The sequence below is a fragment of the Homo sapiens genome, chromosome 5 (genome assembly GCF_000001405.40).
Source record: "Homo sapiens chromosome 5, GRCh38.p14 Primary Assembly".
Classification (NCBI taxonomy): domain Eukaryota; kingdom Metazoa; phylum Chordata; class Mammalia; order Primates; family Hominidae; genus Homo; species Homo sapiens.
The window spans coordinates 71,422,851-71,448,559 of NC_000005.10; the positions used below are offsets into that span (position 1 = coordinate 71,422,851).

At 37.2% G+C, this 25,709-nt stretch overlaps 2 long non-coding RNA genes across 3 annotated transcripts in view; one reads left to right on the top strand and one right to left on the bottom strand.

The window, feature by feature from the left end:
- LINC02197 (long intergenic non-protein coding RNA 2197) overlaps positions 1-23,906 on the bottom strand; it is a 125,726-nt gene extending 101,820 nt beyond the window's left edge. The window contains exons 1-2 of one of the 2 annotated variants that reach the window (NR_134269.1): positions 23,852-23,906; positions 22,795-22,939 (exon numbers count right to left, since the gene is read on the bottom strand). This is a non-coding gene — a long non-coding RNA (long intergenic non-protein coding RNA 2197). Of the gene's footprint in view, positions 1-22,794; positions 22,940-23,099; positions 23,487-23,851 lie in introns of those variants that run through there. The other variant, NR_134268.1, reaches the window with a different exon arrangement.
- Positions 22,733-23,735, top strand: LOC107987420 (uncharacterized). The gene is made up of 2 exons (XR_007058809.1): positions 22,733-22,822; positions 23,210-23,735. It is a non-coding gene; the product is annotated as an uncharacterized LOC107987420 (long non-coding RNA).
- Positions 23,907-25,709: the final 1,803 nt, after the last annotated feature.

Genomic DNA, 25,709 nt, shown 5'->3' on the forward strand with positions numbered 1-25,709 from the left:
TCAGATGCTGAGATATTGCATACTGTATGCTACTAAAGTCAAAATCAATAGTAACAATCAGGAGATCTATTATTTTATTACTTATACTTAACATAAGTAGATATTCGATCTGTACAATTCTATTTCTTTTATTAGGCATAACATGGATCAAGGAAACGAAAGGAGCCATAAATGGTTCTAATAAATTTATAAAAACATTTATTTGTTAAAAATTTGTAGCTAGCCCGTTTCTTTTTATAGCATTATCCACTAGTGAAGGACAAGAAATAGAAATATCTTTTTAAAAAAAATTTCTATTTTTAATCATAGTGCTCAATAGTGGCACATGCAATGGCTTGAGATCTGTGGTGCATCCAGGGGATAACAGATGCCTCAGAAGCATTACCACATCTTCCCCTCCCCTACCCCCAGCCCCGTGGGCTGCATTTTGTTGTGACTCCTGTGTGCTTTTCTAAGACGTGTTTGCTTCACAGCTGGTGAATGGACACTTTCCATCACTTCACCTCTTGGCAACAGATGCCTCTCAGTTAGGCACAGATGCTGAGTGTCCACCCATCCCTAACATTAGCCTTGCGTTCTGGACTAATTGGGCCAACAGAGTTGCAATTAAGATTTGAATAATTAGATAACGGACATGATTACTTTTGTAATTAATCCTCATACTGAGTCATCATGATCATGTCTGGGGTGATGACCACTGGCTTATACTTAATTCAAATAGAGGTAGTGAGTATTAAAAGCAAAGCATTAGCAAAAATACTCCCTCACTTCTCCTCTAGAAAAAATAAATATGACACTACATATAGACACACAATTTTCATTTTTCAAGTACATTTTACAGTGATCTGTTGGATGATGAGAACTCATTTCAATTTAATTCATGCCTCCATCTGTCTGTCTGTCTGTCTATCTATCTATCTATCTATCTATCTATCTATCTATCATCTATCTATCAATCGTCTATCCATCTTTTTTTCCCAAAGACTTCCACTTTGGCTTCTGCACTGTTTTGGAACTGTGACCTATATTTTAAAATGAGTGTTTTCTTTCCTTTTTCAAAAATTTACCATATCATAAAAACAAATACATATAAACAAACTGAAGTTGACCCCTCTCCCTTCTCTTGTCTACAAAAAAGCCACAGATGTTAGAATTTCTTATGGTTTGGCTGTGAGTTCCTCCTCTTGTCTCTACTCTTTCCACATACTGTCCATATCTGTGACTCCTAGAATGTCATCTGGTAGGAGTGTGTTGCGAAAAGACATCCAAAGCCAACAGTGCCAAGCAGACCTGCCAGAGCTCTTGTCTCTGCAGATCCCTCTCAGAAGCCTGTTGTCTTCAATTAATCTTCTCAATGAAAGGATCAATCAGCTCCGTAAATCAGGGTCTCAGACTCATCCCTGACTGCACACTCCCACAACTGGCGCATGCCAATCTGTTGCCAAATGAAGTTCACTTTTCTCTTTAAATGTTACTCAACTCCCACCACTATGTATTTCGCTCCATTGCCTCAATGTGGGAATATCGTGATATCTTTCTGAAGTAATGTAATAGTTTTCCTTTCCTATTCCTGTCCCATTCCAAACTTCCTTCTAAATTGGCACAGGCTTCTCTGTATGACTGTGTTCCTCCATCGCTGCATTTTAGCTGCTGTAGCTTCTCTCAATCCTAGGAATAAACCAACATCCCAAGTGTTACTACATGGACGCTTCCCTTTGCCTAGAACAGTCTTTCTTCCCTCTTCATCTAGTAAACTGCACATCCTCAGATCTCTGGCCATCAATTTTCCCAAGAGGTGTTTCTTGTCCCTCTAGACCAAGCCAAGCCCTTCCTTTATACTCTCTTACAGCCTCCTTCTCATTTCACTCTTAGCGCTTTCCTCACTTTGTAGTTATATGAGCTTTTTTGTTAATCATTTCAGCTCACAGATACACTGGATCGACCCAGTTTCTGACACACAAGAGACTCTATGCTCTTAAATTAATGAATGATAAATGGTGTCATATTGAAAATGGGTTAAACTGTGTGATTCAGCAACTAAGGATAAAAAGGTTTCAGAAGTAATTACTCAATATTTATTTATAAGTTGTCTATATACACCAATGGTCTTTAAAGAACAGATTCTTTCATATATGTGTTCATGTATGGCAAAATTAATACTCATGTTTTTTGTTTGTCTGTTTGCTTGAGACAGAGGCTTGGTCTGTCTCCCAGGCTGGAGCGCAGTGGCCTGATCTTGGCTCACAGCAACCTCTGCCTCCAGGATTCAAGTGATTCTCCTGACTCAGACTCCCCAGTAGCTAGGATTATAGGAGGGCCACCATGCCCAGCTAATTTTCGTTTTTTTGGTAGAGACAAGGCTTCACCATATTGGCCAGGGTGGTCTCAAACTCCTGGCCTCAAGTGATCTGCCTGCCTCAGCCTCCCAAAGTGCTAGGATTACAGGCATGAGTCACCATGCCTGGCAGTCAAATATTAATATGTGACTGACACAATACAGGTCTTTGAAGATATACACATAATTAATATGTAGTCTGGGCCTGCAAGGAACTTATAATCTCTCAAGTAATACAAATCTCTAAAGACAAAATTAGGAGCCATGACAAACTAATAAAATAATGAGTTAACGAGGCTGGTGGCTGGAAATGAGAGAGCATTTTCTGGTGAATGTAATGTCACGTTTGGGTTTCAAAGAGAGTAGGAATTAGCCAGACAAGTTACACAGATGTAGAAGAATAAGAAGGAGAAGAGCAGACACATTTAAGGCCCTATGGACAGCATGGATAAAAGTCACAGAGGTCCACAAGCACCATTAGGGGTGTGTGTGTGTACATTTGTGCACACAGGCTTATGCATGTGCCTACAAATTATTCACAGTGACTGAAAAGAAAAGAATGGTGAGAGGTAAGGAGGGGTGGGATAAGCTGGGGGGATGTCAGAGTAGGCCTCTTATCCCAGAATAGACTGTGGCTCACTTTGTAGATAACAGAGAGCCATTTGAGATTTCATGTAGGTAAGTGGTAAGGTTATATTTGTATTTGAAACAGAACACAGCTGGGGAGGCTACACTTGAAAGGGAAGAGACTGGAGGCCAGAATATTGAAGAAGAGGCTGAGTCCAGGCAAGAATTTGCTATACTTGCCTGCATAGGCAAGAGTGAAGGCCTGTACTTAAGAGAGATGCAGTAGGTATGCAGACATGGCTACATAGTTAAGGAAGTCGGAAAAAAACTGAGATTTGTGATACTGGAATGGAGTGTGGAAAAAAAAAATCATAGTTTAGTAAGACACTCAGGTTACAAACATACATGCTGGAGAAAATTGCAATTTTAACAAATGTATTTTAGCTTCTCTGACTCATGAATCTGAGCCCTACATATGTCTTTTTGTTTGTTTTTGTTTGTTTGTTTGTTTTTGAATACTAAATGTTTTGAACACCAATTTGGATGGCTATAAAGTTTAATGTGAACTAAAGATATCATAACTTCTCAAATTCAGGCTTAATGCTTCTAGGAGTAAACATGTTCAGAATTCTAACCAAGAGCATAAGGAAATGTAATGACATAACTTTGTTAAAACTAGATTTCGATGTCATGTTTTTTGAAGCTATGAATGTTAGACGATGGGGAAACTCCCAGGTCTTTTCTGCTTTACATAACATGTAAGTATTTTTGTCTCTTTTTGCTGGTTACTTTCCTAGGCATTGAGGAGTACAGGTGAATTCATATATTACCTTTGGGGTAGGTTTTCACTTAGTGCTGAATGTCAACCTGTTCCTTGAATGGGCATAATTCAGAAAAAAAGCTAATTTGTGTGTTATTATCAGAGATTATAGTTCATTTTTTATTCTGGCTGTTGTCTTCTTTGAAACTTTTTTCTTTGTAGGTATACAAATTTGGATAAGCAGCCAGATGTATCAGGCAAATTCTTGGGGAGATCCATGTTTGCACAATTGTTGATGTAGTTGTTTTATAGAAGAAAAACCCACGAGGGTTGCTGAGTCATCAGACTCCACTGTACTCTTTCACTGCAGTAGAGAATATAGTAAGAACTTGGTTTGGCTCAGTACAACATACTAGCTCAGTGGTAGCCTACACAAGGTATTATTTAAGACTTACTAATACAATTGAATTTGTGTAGGATTATCTTCCTTTAATTTTCCTATTAAGAATAACTTAGGGACTGCAAGGGAGAAAGGAATGTTTTATTGAAATAAGTGGACATTATCATAGCCAATACTTACAAATGTTAGAATTTGGAAATGAAAATGAGGCTTCTATGATCAAAACCCAGGATGGAGTCTAGGGCTTTGTCTCTGACACCTCATTGGAGATGAGTCCTGTCCTCTGTGCTAGAAGATCTATTTTAGTGCAGTCCTGGTAGGAAAAGAAAGCTGGCCCCTAGCCAATGGTAAATAGGGGTTAACAGAGATGAGACATTCAGGTACCAGGCTTGTGAGCTAGAGAGGTGACACACTGCTTACTTAATGGTGTCTTATGTAACCTACCTCCCCCACTATTCTTTCTTTTCTTTTCTTTTTCTTTCTTCTTTTTTGTTTTTTTTTTTTTGTTTTTTTTTGTTTTTTGTTTTTGAGACCGAGTCTCACTCTGTCTCCCAGGCTAGAGTTCAGTGGCACAATTTCAGGTCACTGCAAGCTCTGCCTCCTGGGTTCAAGCGATTCTCCTGCCTCAGCCTCTCGAGTAGCTGGGATTACAAGCGTCCGCCCCCATGCCCGGCTAATTTTTGTATTTTTAGTAGAGACAGGGTTTCACCATGTTGGCCAGGCTGGTCTCGGACTCCTGACCTCAAGGGATCCGCCCAGCTCAGCCTCCTAAAATGCTGGGATTACAGGTGTGAGGCACCGTGACTGGCCTCCCCACTATTATTTCTTTACTTTATGAAAAAAACTTGCCACTTGGTCTGTCGGTGCAGTGTGGTCTTAATGAAAAGGCCAGGTTCAAGTTGTGAGTAAAAAAGAAATAAAAGGCAATATGTTATTCTTTCCCTGTAGCTACAATTTTGTGAGTAATGGGGACCACGGGCATGGGACAGTTTCACCCAGAGGAGCTGTGATCTCCCAAGAGACATCAGCAGTTGTGGTCTTGCCTGGCAGATGGCAGGAGGTCAGACAGGGAAATACAAGACTTTTTTTCTAAGAGTATAAGCGAGCACCTTGGGAGTTTCACAAACAGCCAGGAGAGAAATCAAGTGACTCAGGGGCAGCAATCAAGGCAGTGATCCTGAGCTATCGTAAAGGTGTCAGTTGATGAAAATAGGACCTGATGATATTATCCCAAGCCTAGAAATATGGGTTGCCATAGGTTCTTGATAAAAGTTAGTTTTCTGTCCTCTAGGTAAACAGAGGCTTTTTAAACTTGAAATTATTAGGGAGATTTGAGACCAAGATTGTAGCTAGAATCAGTGACAGGGCAATGTCAGTGAAATATTGGGACATGGGCTATCCAGTTGCTGAAATAATAATAACCTCCTCAGCAGTAGTGTGCTTGCTGTAAGCCAGGTGCTTCACTAAGCACATTTATTATAGTATCTCATTATATAACTACCTGTTAATATTGTCTGTGTTATGCTATGAAAGGAAATCAGAGCATTAAAGAGTGACAAAAATTGTCTAAAGCTACATAGGTAGTAAGTGGTAGACTCAGATTGAAATGTCAATGTGTTGAATTGTGAATGCCATTCTTTTAACCATTATGCCTTTCCAATTCTACTTTACAAACTTGGATGTGCTACCTGGTAACACTGTTAACGCTGGGAAAGCCAAAGGAAAAACAATTATTATTTTTCCTTTGAAAAATTGTTATTTGTCATTCATTAAGATGGGTGCTTTCTCATACTTTACCTCATTTAATTCTCAATACAATGAATAAGAAAATATAAAATGTGTATTTATACCTTTTAAACACACAGAAGCAAAGGATTCTCCAACTCTCACTCTATTGCCACCAAATTTATTTCTTATGGGGATTTCTCTTTCTCTACAATCTTCTGCAAAAGAGAGCATGTTTTGCCATTTTCTCTCCTTTATTTCTTGTTCCTAAATTTAGCTCAATATGAGGGAATAAAAGCCTGGTGTGAAAAACTCTTTTTTCCTAGGTGGCATCTCTCCTCCCTCTCTTTCTTTCTGTCTTTCATTTTCTCAGTTTCAACCTATTAGTAGTAATAATTTTTAAAAAGAGTCATATATACATATTAATCACAGAATTTAACCTAGATGTTTACATAGATTTAAATAAGAACGTTCTACACGTCTTCATTTCTCTATCCTATATTACAGAAGTTTTGGTAGAAATAGTGTGTGTATATTACAGCGTGTATGTATGTGGGTGTGTGTGCATATGTATGTATATCTCTGTCTATTCTATCTGCATGTAATTTTTTTTTTTTTGACAGAGTCTTGCTCTGTCGCCAGGCTTGAGTGTAGTGGCATGATCTCAGCTCACTGCAACCTCCGAATCCCGGGTTTAGGCGATTCTCTTGCCTCAGTCTCCCGAGTGGCTGGGAATACACGCACTACCCCGCCCAGCTAATGTTTGTATATTTAGTGGAGATGGGGTTTCACCATGTTGGCCAGGATGGTCTCGATCTCTCGACCTCATTATCTGCCCACCACGGCCTCCCAAAGTGCTGGGATTACAGGCATGAGCCACTTTGCCTGGCCTGTATGTAATCGTTTATTCATTTTACAGAGATCATTAGAATTTTCTCTCCTGCTTTCTCATGCACTCCATTCCAGGTGACATCCTATACACAAGCCACATATACAGTGAGAAACTGCCTACGCTGAGTTGACCTCAAGTAGGTAGAAGGCTTTACGCAGCTTCAAAAGTCCCTCATTTGCTCTCATCAAAAAAGGATATCTGCAAGGGGACTAGAGACATTTATTCTAACATGTGCATCAGGACTCAAACAACTTCTGAGGTGTCCTCAGGCACCCAGAGGGCTCTATTGTCCCACTTCTCCTTGTTGCCTGTGTTCTCCTTTCAATCTCAGCCTAAAGTTCTTGTGGCTTTGGGACATCACTGTAGCTCCTTGTTGGGTATTCTCTCCCTTTAATTATTTCATGTGATAGATCTTGCTTCTTTTCCCCAAGGAAAGGGATTCAGAGTGGGTCAGTCGAATTTCTTAATCCTCAATCAGACAAAAAAGTAGATCATGAAAAATAATTGATGGGTGTTAGGCTTAATATCTGGGTGATGAAACAATCTGTACAGCAAACTCTCATGATACAAGTTTACCTACATAAACCTGCACTTCTACTCCTGAACTTAAAATAAGAGTTAAAAAATAGATTATGGTAAGATTTTCATTAATAAGAAACTGTTTGTTGCATTTCTAACACAGGGGCCTTCAATACCTCAACTTAAAGAATGGAAAGAATAGGCCGGGTGCAGCGGCTCATGCCTGTAATCCCAGCACTTTGGGAGGCCGAAGGGGGAGGATCATGAGGTCAGGAGATCGAGTCCATCCTGGCTAACACAGTGAAACCCCGTCTCTACTAAAAATACAAAAAAAATTAGCTGGGCGTGGTGGCAGGTGCCTGTAGTCCCAGCTACTTGGGAGGCTGAGGCAGGAGAATGGTGTGAACCTGGGAGGCGAGCTTGCAGTGAGCCAAGAGTGCACCACTGCACTCCAGCCTGGGCAACAGAGCGAGACACCATCTCAAAATAAATAAATAAATACATAAATAAACAAAAAAGAATGGAAAGAATATTGGCAAGGTAGATTTTGCCAGAGAGTATCAGTGAGATGCTTTTAAAGAGAAGCAGCTTTAAGCAGCATTGTTTCTTTTCTGATTAGTCAGCTCTTCTGTTTTATTCTAAATTAGCTTTCATTGCTTTTTGTGAAGATCAGGTATTGGTAAGGACTCCTTATTGCATTTTCCTAATCTGAAACTATGATGTTATTATCACTTGTTCCTAAAATACATCTATACCATAAAAAGTTTGGGGCAATTACTTTATTTCTGGCTCAATGTCTCCCAAGATGATCTCAAACACAAAATCATTACTGTTAATATTTATAAAGTCTCTCAAAAAGTATGGATTTTTCTAATTTATAAATTTGTATGCTTCTTGCAGAAAATCCTTAAACCTTTCTTATTTTTTTCTTTTCTTATGTATCAGTGTGAAATCAATTTGAAAGTTATTAAAAGGCTTTACATGGTGCTCTTCACTTGCAAATTGGTGGGACAACATTCATTATGATAAAAATAACAGTAAAATAAGTATGATTTTATTCACAACAATATTATTCTTAATCATATTTAAAAGAATAAAAAGATAATTTACTTATAATTACAACAAAGTTCTTAGCAAACCATGCAGAATAACTTTTTTCATTACTAAAATATCATAGTGTGTGTGTCTGGGTGAGTGTCTCTATGTAATTACCATCTGTGTCGGGGTGTTCATTTCTAGCACTTCAGTAGTCTCTCTTTTGTACTTCTGTCAGTCACCCCAAAAACGTACTGATAGTGTTGGCTAAATGAATAATGCAATAACACTTTTATTCTACTTGCATTTTATGTAATAACTAATAATGTTAAAAAAATGCTTCAGATTTATTTTACACACCAAATAAGCATATTGTATAAACATGTTACATACATGATAGTTATGTTATCTGACAATGTTAGAAACAGGCATTTCTGACACTCTTCAATATTTTTATTTTTATGTAGGAATCATAACAAATGCCTAAGGAACTTAATGTCTACAAAACTATTTCTGCTGTTTAAAAGATACCTAGCAACTGGAATGTTAAATTTGCTCTATTTGTATAAGTAGTTATGCTGTTGTCAGATTGAGATGAGTAACTCCAGGACCTATGAAAACTCTACTTTCTATTCCTATATGACTTCAACAATTCTGCTCTATCTAGTAAGTGATTTATGCACAAAACTCAAGGCAAGTATTTGAATACATCTTACACTTTCATTGGTAATGGCTTTATGTGGACAAAAATGCTATCAATTCTGAATTTTCCTTTCGGAATGCAAAACCTATGAAACATTTCAATAAATATAACACAAGCAGAATCACCCTCTTTACCAATCCTCAAGATTTTGAAATGTTTAACAAACCTGACATTTTTTATTTTTATTTATTTATTTAGTAAAAAAAGCAGATAGGAAAATTCGGCCTATTTTTTGTACTTAGTATGGGTCACTAGAGAGATAGAGAGAGTGAATGGTCTTTCAATAACCTCAAACTACAATGTGTTCAAAAGGGGAAATTGGAGAGGCACATGAACTTGAATTATGATTATAGAGAAAGTGCCAGAGCACCCAGCTCTGCACCTGGGAGTACAGAATTCTTAAAACGAGGAAATGCTTACTCAGATTCCTCCAAATATGGAACAAACCACTTGGGGAAGCAACACATTTTAACTTTACTGGTTCTTTTCAAAATAAGATCACCAAACTTCTTGAATAGGACACTAATACAACAGACACACAAACAAAACCAAAGACAATGAAGAGACTCTATGTTGATACATGTGTGGCTACTTAGTCATGAGGGTTAGATAACTCAGGAGTCTGTAAAAACTAGACTAGAAAAGACCAGGAGAGGCGTGAGGGTGGGAGATGGCCGGTAGCTTCCTAAGTTCATATGTTGTTTAAGACCAAGGGTAATATAAACACTATCACACAACAAGCTTTACTTTGTTAAAAGAATCAGTGTGAAGCATTCATAGCTTTAACTAAACTTTTGTGTTAACTGTTTTCATTCCCCGCTGCTTACCTCTGGGCTGAGTTCCTCTTTTCATGCCTGCAGATCAGAGCATAATTGGACCTGCTCTTTTTCCCTAAAATATTTTCAAGAACAAAATGGCTTAGCATCCCATAGAGAAAAACATTCCTGATGTTTAATTATACTTCTCAGTAGATGTAGAATTGTGGGATATTAAACCTGTTTACTTTTTGTTTGACAAGAGATATGTCTCTATTATTTTTCTATTATGTTCCCCCTTGGACACTAGTCACAACATTTTTCTTTGCATTCTTTTTCTCTCTGCCTTTTAGATGTTTGCCTTTAGGGGCGCTGACAAAAAACATTTTATTTGGTGGATCTGCATTAGAAATCACTTCTTTTCCTGACAAGCTATTTAAAATGTCACTTGTGCCTTGTGAAGGCTTTTAGAAAAACACAGAGACCTGGACCCAGATGACCCAAACTGTGTTTCTGCAAGGATTGCAATTTCCTTTTGAGGATTATGGTTCCAGGGAAGATTGCTTCTAAATATCTGTGAGAGAAATACTTTCCAGAATTATTGCTGTTGTTTACTCTATATTGATTTTTAGAGTATTTTACCTCACTTCATATAAAGGACAAATAATAAAATATCATTTAATTATTGTAATATTAAATATAACAGTGTAATTATTTCTCAAACACAAGAGATCAAAGTGTATCTCTTCAGGATGTGCTTTTTGACTACTGATTATCAAGTACAATATAGCCAATTTCAGTTGTTTGTTCTACCAATTACACTTCTCTGAAGATCAAAAAGCTGGAGAATAGGAATTAGTGTAGCTCCCCTATACTAATTATCATCCAGTTATGAAATACAAAGCTATAAGAGTGGTGCTTTTGAAGAAAATTGACGTGTGAGTTAAAATATGCATGTTCATTGATCACAAATGGATGAGAAATGTCACCCAGTTATTACACAGAAAAGAGCTGATTGAAAATAGGTGACTTTTACCAAACGTGTGTGAACAATTTCCACTGTTCATTAAAGTACAAGATATCTACATCATCCATAAGGTGGATATGATGTTGGAAATGCATTAAACAGATTTCAGTGGTTACTACCATGATAAGTGTTTTGAATTAATCTAATTGTTACTATACTTTGTGTTCTCTGACATTTCATCAAGGGGACATAGGGAAGCAAAATTCTTTTCAGAATGTCAGGAATTTAATTGCCCAAGTAGAAGGAAGAAGCATTGGCTTATGAATAAATAACTATGTTTTTAATTTGAAGAAGATCACCAACTATTCTTTTTACAAAGGATTTGGGCACATAAGTGCCTGTCACTGGGAATATAGTAGTGAATGACACAGGCATAGAACCTGCCATCAAAGAGTTTGAAGTGTGGCATTATTCAATGAAGTAATGAGTTCTGTGATTGGATTATAAGGGACATAGAGTGTGCTATGGAAACTGATAGAAAAAACATTTGAACTCCACTTGTAGGGGCCAAAAAACACTTGTATGAAATGTATCTTGAGTTCTGAAGGTCAATAGATCTAGTCAGACAAAAAGTCAACTTACTGTGACAGACAGCAAACATGAAATCTCAGACATAGGAACCAAATGATAGCAACCATGGCTGGGTCATAGACTGCTTGAGATTAAGAAAAAGCAGATATGATGCAGCATCCAAACCTCACGTTGAAATGGATGCAGCCATATTCACCATATAAAGATATGGAATCAACCTAAGTTTCCATATCTTAAGATATCTAAGATACAGAATCAATCCATCACAAAATGACTGGATAAAGAAATGTGGTGTATATACAAAATGGAATACTATTCACACATAAACAAGAATTAAATCATGTCTTTTGTGGCAACATGGATAGAACTGGAGGCCATTATCTTACGTGAAATAACTCAGAAACAGACAAATACCGCATGTTCTCACTTATAAGTAGCACTAAATAATGTGTACAAATGAACATAGAGTATGAAATGATACACACTGGAGACTCAGAGCTTGGGGGATGGAAAAGTGTGAGGGAGGATAAATAACTTAATGGGTACAATGTATATTATTTGAGTGATGGATACCCTAAAATGCCAGACTTCACCCTATGCAATATATATTGCATATAACAAAATTGTACTTGTACCCCTTAAATATATACAAAAAAATGGGTGTCCAGTGGGGGTTTTAATTATGTCTTTAAAAAGCAGGGAAACTACAAGAGAAGCCTTAACATGGGGGTAATAGGGCAAGCTTGTATTCAGAGATATCAATTTTCTGTCAGTATATGGCATTATCTTGTGTAGAAAAGGAATACGGTAATGCAGCCATAAGGCAAGTGACAGATGAAGGTGATAAGAACTGTGGGGAAACAACGAGGGAAAGCCAGGGGAGAGAAAGTTAGAAGGCAGGATTGAAAGGACCACATGTTAATTGGATCTGTGGGAAGTGACAAGTGGGAAGGCAAAGATGTTTGCTGGATTCCTAACTTGACACATTGGGTGGATTAGAGTGCCACTTACTGAGATGGTAAAGAGAGAAGACATAGAAAAGGTTTTGAGGCGAGATTAGGGAATGCACTGATATCTCCCTCCCTCTGCCCCTCCCTCCCTCTCTTTTCCTCCCTCCCTCCCTCCCTACTTTCCTTCCTTCCTTCCTTCCTTCCTTCCTTCCTTCCTTCCTTCCTTCCTTCCTTCCTTCTTTCAACATATAGTTACTACCTCTGTGACAGACACTGATCTAGGTGATGAGCCTGCAGCAGTAAACAAAGCAAGGTTCTCATCTTCACAGAGCTTACAGTCCCATTGGAGCAACCATCAGCAGGTAAGACAGTAAATCTGAGATGAACAATAAGGAGAAAGAGATAGGGTGGGTGATATTTTAGGTAGAATGGTAAGGGAAAACTGAAAAATTAGTTTCAGCTAATATTAGCGACAACAAGCTCTGCACAAAAGGGTCAGAGATTTTGCCAGAGTTAACCCTTAGTGTTCTATCTCTGAAATAAAAAGCTCAGAAGTTCTCCTTCTAAGAATGTCAATGGTGTTAAATTTAAATAGCTCAGTTTGACTTTGATTATCCAGCAAGAGTAGAGGCAAAAAAGTGGCCTTTTCTGTTAGGTCGCAGTCAGGAGGTGGGAGGATGTGAACACTTCTCCACGTCAGTACTAGCAGATATGGCCATCCATATTCTTCACTTTTCCTGAACTCTGAAACTGAAATACATTCATTCATCTAATCCTGCAATACAGAACCCCTGAAAATCACCTATGGATTTATAACTTTGCCAAATTTATGCTCATTCAACTTTATTTGGTTCAAAGCTCTACACGCGAACTTTCATATATTCTTGGCACAGCATTTAGGTAAGTGACTTTCTCTCCCTTCAACTCCACTAAAACTTATTTTCTCCTATAGTATACATATTTTTGTTTTTCATGTGCCTTTTTAAATTTTTTAAAATTTATTTTTTAATTGACACATAATAATTGTGCATAATTATGGGAAACAGTGTGATGTTTCAACATAGGTATACGATGTGTAATAATCAAGTTAGGGCAATTAGCATATCCATCATTTCAGAAATTTATCATTTGTTTGTGGTGAGAGCATTCAAAATTTTCTCTTGTAGCTATTTTGAAATATATGTTATATTAACTATAGTCACCATGCTGTGCAATGGAATACTAAAACTTATTTCTCCTATCTAACTGTAACTTTGACCAATTTGTTTCTATACATCTTTTTCCCTCCCCCCGCCACAGCCTCTGCTAACCTCTAATCTACTCTCTACTTCTATGGGATCATCTTTTTCAGATACCGCATATGAGTGCAATCATGAGGTATTTGTCATTCTGTGCCTGGCTTATTTCACTTAACATACTGTCCTCCAGGCTCATCCAAGTTGCTACAAATTACAGAATCTCATTCTATTTTATGGCTGAATAGTATTCTACTGTGTATATATACCACACTTTCCTTGTCCACTCATCTGCTGATGGACACTTAGGTTGATGCCATATCTTGGCTGTTGTACATAGTGCTGCAATAAATGTGGGAGTGCAGACATCTCTTTGACATACTGATGTTATTTCCTTTGGATACAGACCCAGCAATGGCATTTTGGGATCATATGGTAGTTCTATTTTTAATATTTTGAGAAACCTTCCTACTCTTGCCTATAATGACTGTACGAGTTTACATTCTCACCAACAGCAATATGAATTCCCTTTTCTCCACATCCTTGCCAGCACTTGTTACTTTTTGCTTTTTTGATAATAGCCATTCTAACTGAGGTGAGATGATATCTCACTGTGTTTGTAATTTACATTTCCCTGAAGATTAGTGATGTTGAGCATTTTTTCATGTGCCTGTTGGCCATTGTATGTCCCCCTTTTGAGAAATTCTATTCGGATTGTGGGATAAGAACTCAAACACACAGATTTAGAAGCAAAAATAGATAAATGGGATTACATCAAAATAAAAAGCTTCTTCATAGCAAAGGAAACAATCCACAGCGCAAAGAGACAACTGACAGAATGGGAGAACATATCTATAAACTATGCATCTGACAAGGGGTTAATATCCAGAATCTATAAGGAACTCAAACAACTCAATGAAATAGAAACATAGAATTCACGTGTTTTTGTTTTGTTTTGTTTTGTTTTTTGTTTTTTGAGACGGAGTCTCCCTCTGTCGCCCAGGCTGGCGTGCAGTGGCGCGATCTCAGCTCACTGCAAGCTCCGCCTCACGGGTTCACGCCGTTCTCCCGCCTCAGCCTTTGCAAGCTCCACCTCACGGGTTCACGCCATTCTCCTGCCTTAGCCTCCCGAGTAGCTGGGACTACAGGCACCCGTCACCACGCTCGGCTAGTTTTTTGTATTTTTAGTAGAGACGGGGGTTTCACTGTGTTAGCCAGGATGGTCTTGATCTCCTGACCTCATGATCCACCCGCCTCGGCCTCCCGAAGTGCTGGGATTACAGGCGTGAGCCACCGCGCCCAGCCCAATTCACGTGTATTTTTTTAAGTAGCTAATAACATGTATTTCTATTTGAAGTAGTAAAAAATAAAATGTAAAATTCAGACTAGAGCAGCAATAAATCTAGCTTGCCCTTCTGAAAATTCTTTAATGAGTTCTCATTATTCCTGGGTTAAAGTTCGCACCTCTTACACAGGCATCAATGAAGCTGCTCTTTTTTACATATTCACCACTCCATTGTCATGTTCTATCAAACTAATGTGGTGCTGGAGGGTGTCAGGAATGCACCCAACATATCTCTGTGCTTTTAGCACATAGTGTGATTTCCATTAGGAGCTAATGGTCTCTCTTTTCCTGTCTGTCTAAATTCAAGCTATTCTTTAATTTACAGATAAGGGAATTCCTCTTGGCCTCTCTGTTTAAGTCAGGAGCTATTTTTTGTGCATTGACAGCAGTCTGTACATATGTTCCATGATGGCAGACCACAAGCATTGTGACTACTCGTTCTTTAGTTCCCCTCTCCCACCATCAGGCTGAGCATATTATGCATAGGAACTAGGCCTTGTCAACATGTATCCCTAGCACCTAGCACAGCACCTAACACTTAAGAGGTACACAATAGTTACTGAGTAAATTCAATGGATGAATGTCAATGAACAAATATGGTTGAATCTTACACATTAAGATTTTATAATGTGTTAAAACGTTAACAACAAAAGCAAAAGCAATTGCCTCAATTCTAATACAACAGCCACAGAAATTAATTTGGAATATTCACTCAATCTTGGTCAACAATATTTTCTGAGGATAAACTCTGTAACAGACACTATCTTAGGTACTGAGTTGCAGCTTTGAATAAAAGAAACAAAAAGCCTGCCTTCATAGAGCTCACATTCTAATAATGGGGAGTGGGGAGAAAAACAATAATCAAATAAATTTAAAAGAATACGGTTGATAAGATTTTAAACATTACACAAGAAAATAATAGAGAAGAGTAATAGGAAATTATGGGGGCAGGTTTGTAATTTTTAATTTATATTACCATAATGATGGTAATATAAATTATCCAAAATTTATATCTATATTAATGAAATATATTTCCCTCTATTGTTTATAGATTTTGGCAATAAGAAAGAAATATGGCAGTTGAGATTAGAAAGGGAGAAAAGTTTAAATAAAGAAGAGAGATGAAATCAATATCCTTGTAATTCAGTTTTGGGAGAGAAGAAAGTTGAACTGACAAAGAAGAAAGTCTTAAGGCTACATTGCTAGAATACAGAGAACTGAGATGTTACCAGAGAAGTCAGCATTTTCTGATAAGTTTTGAACTTCAGTATGGAGTTATCTTGGGCAATGCTATAGCCAAAAACTTCTAGATATTGGGAAGGGAGACTGGAGAAGCAATGAACACCCTGTCCCTCTTAATTGCAAGGAATTAAATATGTCAGCGATACTTACCTAAATATTTTGCTTTCTAAGACATCCAACTATTCTATGTCCAAAATAGTTATGTAGAAATCAACAATAGATTAAATATACACACAAAATTTTATATTATATATTAAATATAATATACATATTTCTCAATTTTGACCTGGTTCAGAATTTTTCATCACCTTCCTGAGATGGGAAAAGCTTCTCAAGAAGGTTGATCAACATCTGATTCAGGTGAGCTAGGCAGTGAGTCTCATCCTGTGAAACGTCCTCCAGTAGACACTCGTCCACCCATGGCAGCCATGGGGCAGAGTAGGGGGCAGTGGTGATATGAGAGCAGCATTTCTCATCACCAGTAGCATCAACCTCTCTGGCAGGTTGTTAGAAATGCAGAATCTTGAGGCACACTCTAAAACCTCTAAAAAAGATCCCCAGGTAACTTGCGTGCCTGTTCTTAAGGTTTGAGAGTTGCTGGTCGACAGCAGCAGTGTCCAACTGGGGCTACATAATAGAGTTACCTGGGAAATTTTTTTTTTAAATCCCAATAATTAGGCCACATTCTTATATATTCTGTTTTTGTCAGAATCAACTGTATATGTCTCAAACTGTGGTTCCTGGTTTCTTTTCTACAACTGAAAGAAATCTACCAAAGTTTTGACCTACTAAACCCACTAAGGTTTGACTTGTGAAATCAGCACTCCAGGAATGAGACCCAGGAATCTGCTTCTTTATTTAAGTCACATAGCAGTTGATTCCTATATGTACCAAAATATAAGGTGTGGCTTGGAGGATGAAAAATAATGGATTCCACTGTAAAAAAAAAAAAAAAAAGAGTTTCTCTATGTTTATTATTTGAATCAATATGCAAAGTATGCAATGGAATACTTTTGCATATATACACTGGTAGTTGATAACTTTGTCAAAATTTATAATTAGAGGTTTTAAATACCATAGAAAAATATGGATGAATTAGTGAGTGTGAGGAAATAAAAATACTGAGTCTCTCCAGAGACAGACATTTAGATAGTTATCTTCAAGACATTTAAAAATATTCTACCACGGTCCGGCGTGTTGGCTCACACCTGTAATCCCAGCACTTTGGGAGGCGGAGGTGGATGGATCACGAGGTCAGGAGATCCAGACCATCCTGGCTAACACGGTGAAACCCTGTCTCTACTAAAAATACAAAAAAAAAAAAAAAAAATTAGCCGGTCATGGTTGCAGGCGCCTGTAGTCCCAGCTACGCGGGAGGCTGAGGCAGGAGAATGGCGTGAACCCGGCAGGCGGAGCTTGCAGTGAGCCGAGATCGCGCCACTGCACTCCAGCCTGGGCGACAGAGCGAGACTCCGTCTCAAAAAAAAAAAAAAAAAAGACTGCCTCAAAAAAAAAAAAAGAAAAAGAAAAAAAATTCTACCAAATATTCATTATGCTGATAATAAAAAAATCATGCAAGATGAATGTTTCTCTTCTAAAGAAGCAGTCAGCAAACTTTTTCTGTGAAAGACAAAATGGCCAATATTTTTAGCTTTTCAGGCTCTACAATCTTTTTCTGCTCTACTATTCAACTCTGGCTTTGTGGCTTGCAATCAGCCATTGACAAGATGGAAATGAATAGCTGTGGCTGTATTCCAACCAAACTCTATTTACAAAAACAAATCATGGGCTATTTTTCTGGCCCCTGTAATACCAAGTTAGATTGTTGACTACCAGTGGTCAAATGGAACTTCTTTTTCAAGACTTGTTCAATTCCTTTCAATGTACGTAAGAAAGAGTCAAAGAATTCAGTTGCTAATTTAGTCCTCATGACAAATAGGATGGTTTCTCTAAAATGGCTCCTAAGTTACATTCTTTTAAGAAACATCCACTTCATCTGTGTAAATCCAACAGGACCCCCAAAAAAGAGTATGCCCCAAAATTCAAAATGTACTTATATAAACACAGTGTTATGAAATTGTTCCTGGAAGTTTTGCAAGATCCACGTGTTCATTGTTGCTTAGGAGAGAAAAGATCTCTAATTTTTGCTACTTTACAGGTAAGGTGACAGCTAATAATAAGGTTCTCTATTTATAATAACAACTATCATTTTCTGAGGACCTGAGCAATTGTGGATATATCAATTCCCTCCTTTATTTCTCAGAACACTACAATAGGATAGGTACTGTGATTGGCTCAATTTTAAATAACATAAAAACAAAGTTTAGACACCTTAACTGACTTGTCCAAGGCCACAGAGCTAGAAAATGCCCTCAGCTGGATTTGAACCAGGTAGTTGAACCTAGAACACGTACAGCCACTAAACATTACTGCCCTATCCATTGTCTACCAGAACTATGAACATGTAAGATACTGAGTTAGTTGTAATATTTTCATTTGTAAGGGAAATAGATGTGCTCAATTTGAATGGATTAACAGGACTAAAACTACAGAGAAAAATGTGAATGTGAAAAATGGGGAAGTCTCACCACTGCATGGTATGCCTGGAATACGATACGGGATATCAACCCAGGATAACACAGTACTTCCTCTGAGAAGCACTCTTTTCTTCTTGCGCTTAGCTATTAGGGTAAGTTAGAAAATGTGTCTGTTCTTACTGACCTAATGCAATTAACCTCTTTTCTTTCTTTTCTACTGGCCTCATTACTGCAGCTTATTCATGATTTCCACAGACTGTCCTTTCTATGTTTCTCAACTTCTTTTCCTGGCCACTAACTGCTGAGGCTCCACATGGTATTTCAAATTTAAGATAACCAAGTCAAATATTTGTTATTTCACACAGAACATTTTTATTGGCATGGTTCTCCTGGAAGGCCACATGGTGGCCATTGGCCAGTCTAGAGAGGGCTCTCTTAGACCTTGGCACATTCATTTCTCATCAAATCTACTGCGGCCAGTAGAGCCTAGACACATGGTCATATTTTCTTGGTGGAAACACCTATGCATTGTGAACTGTTACCATTACAAGCTCTTCTACAATATTGTTCTTTATAGATAATATTCATTCTTTTGGAATAGTAATACAGGAGGTAATGTGTACATATACTTTGTTTTTTCTGTTATTCTTATACACAATTAGGATAAGCCAACCATTTTCCAACAACCTAGAGAATTGAAAGTACGCTGGTTGGTTGTTGGAGATTATACACATATATGCCTTGAACATATTTCTAGTCATTGTGGAACCTGTTATTTACAGTATCTGGTACAACGTCATCTCTTTCCAGATTTGGGAACATGTTGGAACACAATAAATTATCATATTTTATAACCATACAACCTAACTTCTAGTTACCATCTTAGCACATCATTGGATATGACAGCTAATCATATTAAATTTTCCAGGTCACCTCTAATCTTATAACATCCCTCCCTTCTTGTCACAGGATTAGATCAAATATTAATTGAAAAATATTACCACAATATCAACACGATTAGCTACACCAAACCTCTGTGGACATATGGGAAAGTTTATGTAAAGTCAGCATAGCAAATAGGCTGCTGAATATGTAAGTCTGTTTTTTCTGAAGTCCACTTCCAACATTCAATTCCAACAGTTAGTTTCTCTACCTTTTCTAATATTGTGAATATCTTTCACTATTAACCTGAGTTCCCTTAACTTCCTTTTAATCGCATTTCAATACAATTAACACTGAATTTATATCTCTACATTTTATTTTATTTTATCCTGAGAGTGTGTCAACCTCTCTTGGAAAGATGTATATGTTACAAATACTAAATTTCAGTAGAGACTTTGCTTACAGTAGAGTGCTTTTTCTGTCAGTAGTAATCAGAATTAGCTGGAAGCAAAGACTTGCACACTAACCTCTTTCAGAAACTAAAAGAACAAAGTACATGCTGGTTTCCAATACTGGTGGTGATGGAATTTACAAAATCATTTATTTTGTGTAAACAAGAGTTAACCTGTTCTAAAGGTAATATGATTACTCTGTACTATCTTAAAAATAGTCTTACAATATTCATGAGTATCATGTCAAGTGCTGGAAACAGTCACCATATATGAGGTAACAAAAAGGTATGGTATAGAGTGTATGAGTTTTAAACACAGCCAGATCTGAATTTTAGTTATAGGTTCATTACTGTGTGCCCTTGGCCCAGTTACATATGCTCTCTCAGATTCCAGCTTTCCTTCTGGAAAATGAGGGCAAATAACATCCATGTTAACATTTCAACTTTCATATGTTTTTATATTTATCATTTATTCATATATAAAAAGTTTATAACTCAGCTATCTGAGTTGAGGAAGCATGTGAGCTAGATTAGATACTGCCTATCTCTAGTGTCTTTTATTGAACATATTACTTATTGAGGAGCAAGTTATAGAAGAACTTGAAGCAAGTTTTGTAAAGTTTTAAAAGATTATTTTATTTAAATTTTGAGACTTCCTACTCTAAGTGAGGTTATCCTATGAGATGTTTTCCCATCTTACAGAAGAAATAAACTACCCTCAATCAAATGAAAAATGGAATTCAATATAGATTAAGGAGGCAGATGCTAAGTAAAATAAACTGTTACTAATTCTCAGTTGAACCCAAGATTTTCTTCATCCTCTTATCAGTATATTGCAAATTCAGACAACTATGACAATGGTAAGACTCCTTTAAGCAATTGCATTTTTAATTTTTTAAATTAAATTTGTATTTTAAGTTCAGGGGTACATATGGTGGTTTGTTATATAAGTAAACATGTGTATTGGGGATTTGTTGTTTTTTGAATGAGAACTACAATTCCCTCAATTTTTAAACATAGATATTTCATTAGACAGTAAACACAACCTTCAATGGACGTACTCTGGTCAGACACTTCAGTGGTCAATACATCCAACAAAAAAGTTCATTGGGTCTGATGCCACCATCAATTCTGAAGTTGGCACAAGGATAGAGATGTTTTCAGCGACATGCAAGTTCGCTAGTAGCAAGTGTGTGTCCCTGTTTGGTTAATGTTGCCTCTTTCTGTTTATCAAGTTTGCTTAAAAAAAAAAAAAAAAAGAAGCCAAAGACCCAGGGACAATCACTGTAGTCAACACATTCTTCTCTCAATTATCTTTAATTCTATTGAGAAATCATCTCCCCAGGGAAAAGAGATAGACGTCTCAGAACAAGAGAAGTAGATAAAAGTCTTCAGGCTTTAGCTACAAACATACTGGTAGCCAAGTACACATCAGCCTTTGGGAACCTTGAAAATAGTTTACTCCTCTGGAAGAAGCAGTAACATCGACATCAGCCTGAAAAGCTCTCCAGAGAATTTCAGAATGATAGCCAATTATTAGAAAGTGTTCTGACATCTTTATAAAATGTCCCATCTCAAGAGATCCATAGAAGAAAAGGGAAGTCAGCACTTCAGGAAATACGAGTGCTCACTCTGAAAAGCACACTTGAGATACCATTATAAATCTTTATACAAAAGCAGCTAGATATTTACATTTTGCTTTAACAATAGAAATTAATTGTTAAAAATCAACCTGTTTCAGTATTATATGTGATATTTTAAATAATGTTTATTTCATTATTTGAAAACTTTTATGTCATACAGTATCAAGGTAAGTGATTGCTATTCTTCAGTATTTAGAGTGCAGACTAATAGATCACATAATTATAGTGATATAATTATTTAATTACTCTTAATTACATAAAAATTTATCATAATATGGAGTAAAACCATCAGGCATGTATGCGCTTAGTAAGGTAGAAAAGAAAAAGTTCAGGTAATTAAACTTTGGAAAAAAGTTGCTTACAATACCTTTCTAGATATTTTTAACAAGCTTACAAGAAAATGGGTAAAAAAGAATTAATATGGAATGGTTTAATCTGAATTACCTGGATAATTGCCCTAAGTGATATAGGAAATGTAAGCTTCACTTCGATTCATTATATCTTAATAATAAAAATGAAATAAAACATAAAAAAGATTTTTTTACAAACACATAATCTCTTATTGAAGAATTCTTTCAAAAACAAGCATTTTAGAAAGCACTTAATTTTCCTTTGCTTTCTTTTTTTATTCATGTCATAAAAGAAATCCACTTCTGTTGAATAAGGACTATAAATTATATGAATGGTATAATAAGTCTTCTAGTTTCATTTTTCTTAATACTTGCATCAGAAACTATAACATTTAAGTTTTAAGTTCCAAATGGATACTATTAAAATATTCAGGGATTTAGTCCTAAATCCTTAAACCAAAAGGGAGCTCAGGAATATTGCTAAAGTAGAAAGCTGCACAAAATCTCAACTCGCATTTGCAAATTTTCTTTCCATCTGATTTAACTTTGAAGCTTTCAGACTCAGATTTTACTATATGACATCAACAAATCACTTCAATCAAAATCAATTTACCTTGGCAATGCACAACCCTTCCAGATAGATTATTAAAAAGGTAAAATGAGAAATTAACTATCTTTTCATGTTCCCTTTTATTTTCTCTGGATACAAGGCAGAATGAATGTATTTCAAAAGAAATTGCCCTGAGATATCATTATCTCCAACGCCGTTTTTACTCCAGGAAACTTGCTTATAAATTAAGCTTTTCCTGACACAGTCACTTGCTGCAGTGCAGAATGTCAGTTTAGTCAGTTAGAACTTTCAATGCAGAAATTCAGTGCCATGCAGTCACCCGGATAAAGCAGCACTTACCTTAATTGAAATTTTCTCTGTGAACGAGGTGAGAAATCCGTCAAATCAACCGTGATGGGGTGGGGAGATCGAAGTTTTCAATCAACACCCTCTAAGTAGCTGCATCCTGTGCTCCTTTTCCCTGTTATGTTGAGCTCCTCACTGTCTAAGGAGAGAAAAACATCAGCTGAAATCCTCCGAGGTTCCCAGTGAGTAAATGAGGACTAAGCGATGTTTCTGAACGGGAGATTCTCCGTGAGCGTGCTCCGTTTGGAGGCTCCCTAACACTCTTGGCAGGTCCCTGGAGCCAGGCGCTAATCATTGACCTGATTAGCAAGAACGCTCCGGGTGCGCAGGCAACACACGCCGAGGGTTGGTGGGTCTCCCGGGAACTGGAAAAGGCACCAAGGCCACTTGGGAATCTTGTCTTTTCCAGCCTAATGGATGAACTACAACTATGATTATAATTTGCAAGGAGATTAGCTGCCGTGCTAGCCATCGCAGGACTTAAACAAATGTGCTTTCTCCTGCTGTTTTTCAAGGTGCCTTCGTGTAAGATATTAGGTACAGTGAAACAATTAATAGACTGATAGAGCTGACTTGTAAGACAAGCTTAAAGCTGAAAAATGTTTAAAGCGATGTGATCAAAGAGATAGCTGCACTTGTCCCTGACGCTCGCCTGCTACATACTTCAACCTTTGTCGAAGTAAAATGAATTTAAAGGTTTATTACAGCCCTCCAGAGTGCAACTCTCTGAATTTATAAAAAGGAAGTATTCATACTAAATAAGCATATTTGGCAGATTGCTACAGACACAAGCACTCAAACCACGGCATGAACACAGCCTTGCTTGTGTAGTTTTCCAAACGGCATTTTCAATTAGCATTAAACTTGCAAAAAATGTTTGCATTGTACCATTAACCAGAGTAACGTAGGAGAATACAGCACTACACCTAACCGAATCATCTCTTTGATTATCTGTTGAAACACTGATTTACTAAAACAAAAACAAACAAGCATATGAGAGGATCGAAAATATCTAACAACTTTTTAAACGTAGTTATGTGCCGTTACCAACCTGCTGGTCCCCATCCGTCATCCGCTCTTTCTGCCACTGATCACCTTCTCAGCACTTCCTCATCAAGTTCCTAGTTCCCTGAAGAGATCTAACTCTCTGGAAAAGGTCACATAACTGAATGCCAAAGCCCCAAATGGTTAATTTTTGACAGCTCTCACTTTTGCAGGAGAAAATTATGCAAATAACATAAAAAGAACAGATGAAAAAAGTAATTTGCATGTCTTGAGGGTGAGAAAATTCTCATTGCCAGAGAGAAAGCTGACGACTGTCCTCTCACAATGATCCTGAGTGATATGTTCAGCACTTTTGTTTTTTTCCAGTGGGCCTCACTTGGGACATATGGCATTTCCTTGATGTGTGTGTGCGTGTGTGGGTGGGTGCGTGTGCTTGCGTGTGTGTGTGAGAAAGAGAGAGAGGAAGAGCGAGAAGCTATATTTACATTGTGATATTTATATATATCTTAGAAAACCCTCAAATTTCAGTAGGCGAATGCACTAAGTATAAATAATAGAGAATCCGTTTGCCTTATACATTCCCAAATATATTTTTAAAGTATCTCATTAAAATACAAGCTCTTGGTGAAACTTTTTGGACAAAGTAAAACTTCAGGGTAACTGAATTGCTGTTACTAAGGCAGGTACTCATCCTACTCTGAAAACGGAGACGGCCCTGCAGGAGACCCAGGAGGTGGGGCTGTAGCCTCCCATGCAGAGGTCTCTTGCTCCCTCAGCTGGTGGAGGGTGACAGCCGAATGTGAAGAAACCCAGTCAACCACTTCAGGAGAGGGAGAACAATTTTTGCTGCTGTAAAGCAGGAAACCCATTGTCCAATTTTAGATTGGCATGAGAGTGTTATAGTAGAAAAGAGGCTGCTTACATCGAAGTAAATGCACCTTGAGCATAAATTGTAAAAATAAGAAAATGTAACTGCTAATTTCTCCTGAGAGGGTTCCAACTAGTCTTTAACACAATACTTGTAAATAACAGTGGGATAGATTCCAGGGCTCTAATGTGTAGTTGGTCATGCAATTAAAGCACTCCGTTTCTCATATTGGTCTAAGTCCCATTCTGAGGATCTTAAATTGTGAACTATTTTTAAAACTTATTAAAACATTAAGACACGGCTTATTTTCCTGAACCCTGCCAGCCAACCTGCAATCATCATCACCAACTAAAACAGGTGCACACGAAACTCTGTGCCATAGTAGATGGGTTCTATCTGGAAACTCCAACTCCATGAGACTGCCCTGATGACATTTCCAAATAATCAGCCTTTCTGTTCTCATAAAATCCAGAGGTCTTTCAAAACCCTGAATGGTTTCTACAGAGAGTATGATGACTCTTCAGTAGTTTTTTTAACCTGTGTTGGAACACTAATTGATTTTATGTGAAACTACACACATGAAGAACAAAGCAAAATAAGACCATTTTGTTGGAGGAGTGAGGGGAGACCGTAGTCACATGAAAATAACAGGTACTGTCTATTACATGCTTGCTATGTAGTAAGTGACTGGCATGCACTTCAGCTATAGCTATCCATGAACCCCTTAGTCCAATTCTATTAAGCAGACATTATAATATTTTATTTTTTTAATTAATTAAGTTAGGGCTCTGAGAAGTTAAGCAAATTTGCCAATGTTGCATAGTCAGTACAGAAGAAACCCACCACTAAAAGTCAGGTTACTGTAACTATAAAATTAACAAATATTTGGAAGTTCCCAAATGTTAAAACTGATCAAAATCCCTACTTCCAACAGAATGGGAACATTTTCTAGATTTTATGATTAACAAAAATCATTTTCACATCTTTAAAAACCATTTTATAACTGATAAACTATTGTAACAGTTCTGCTATTAAA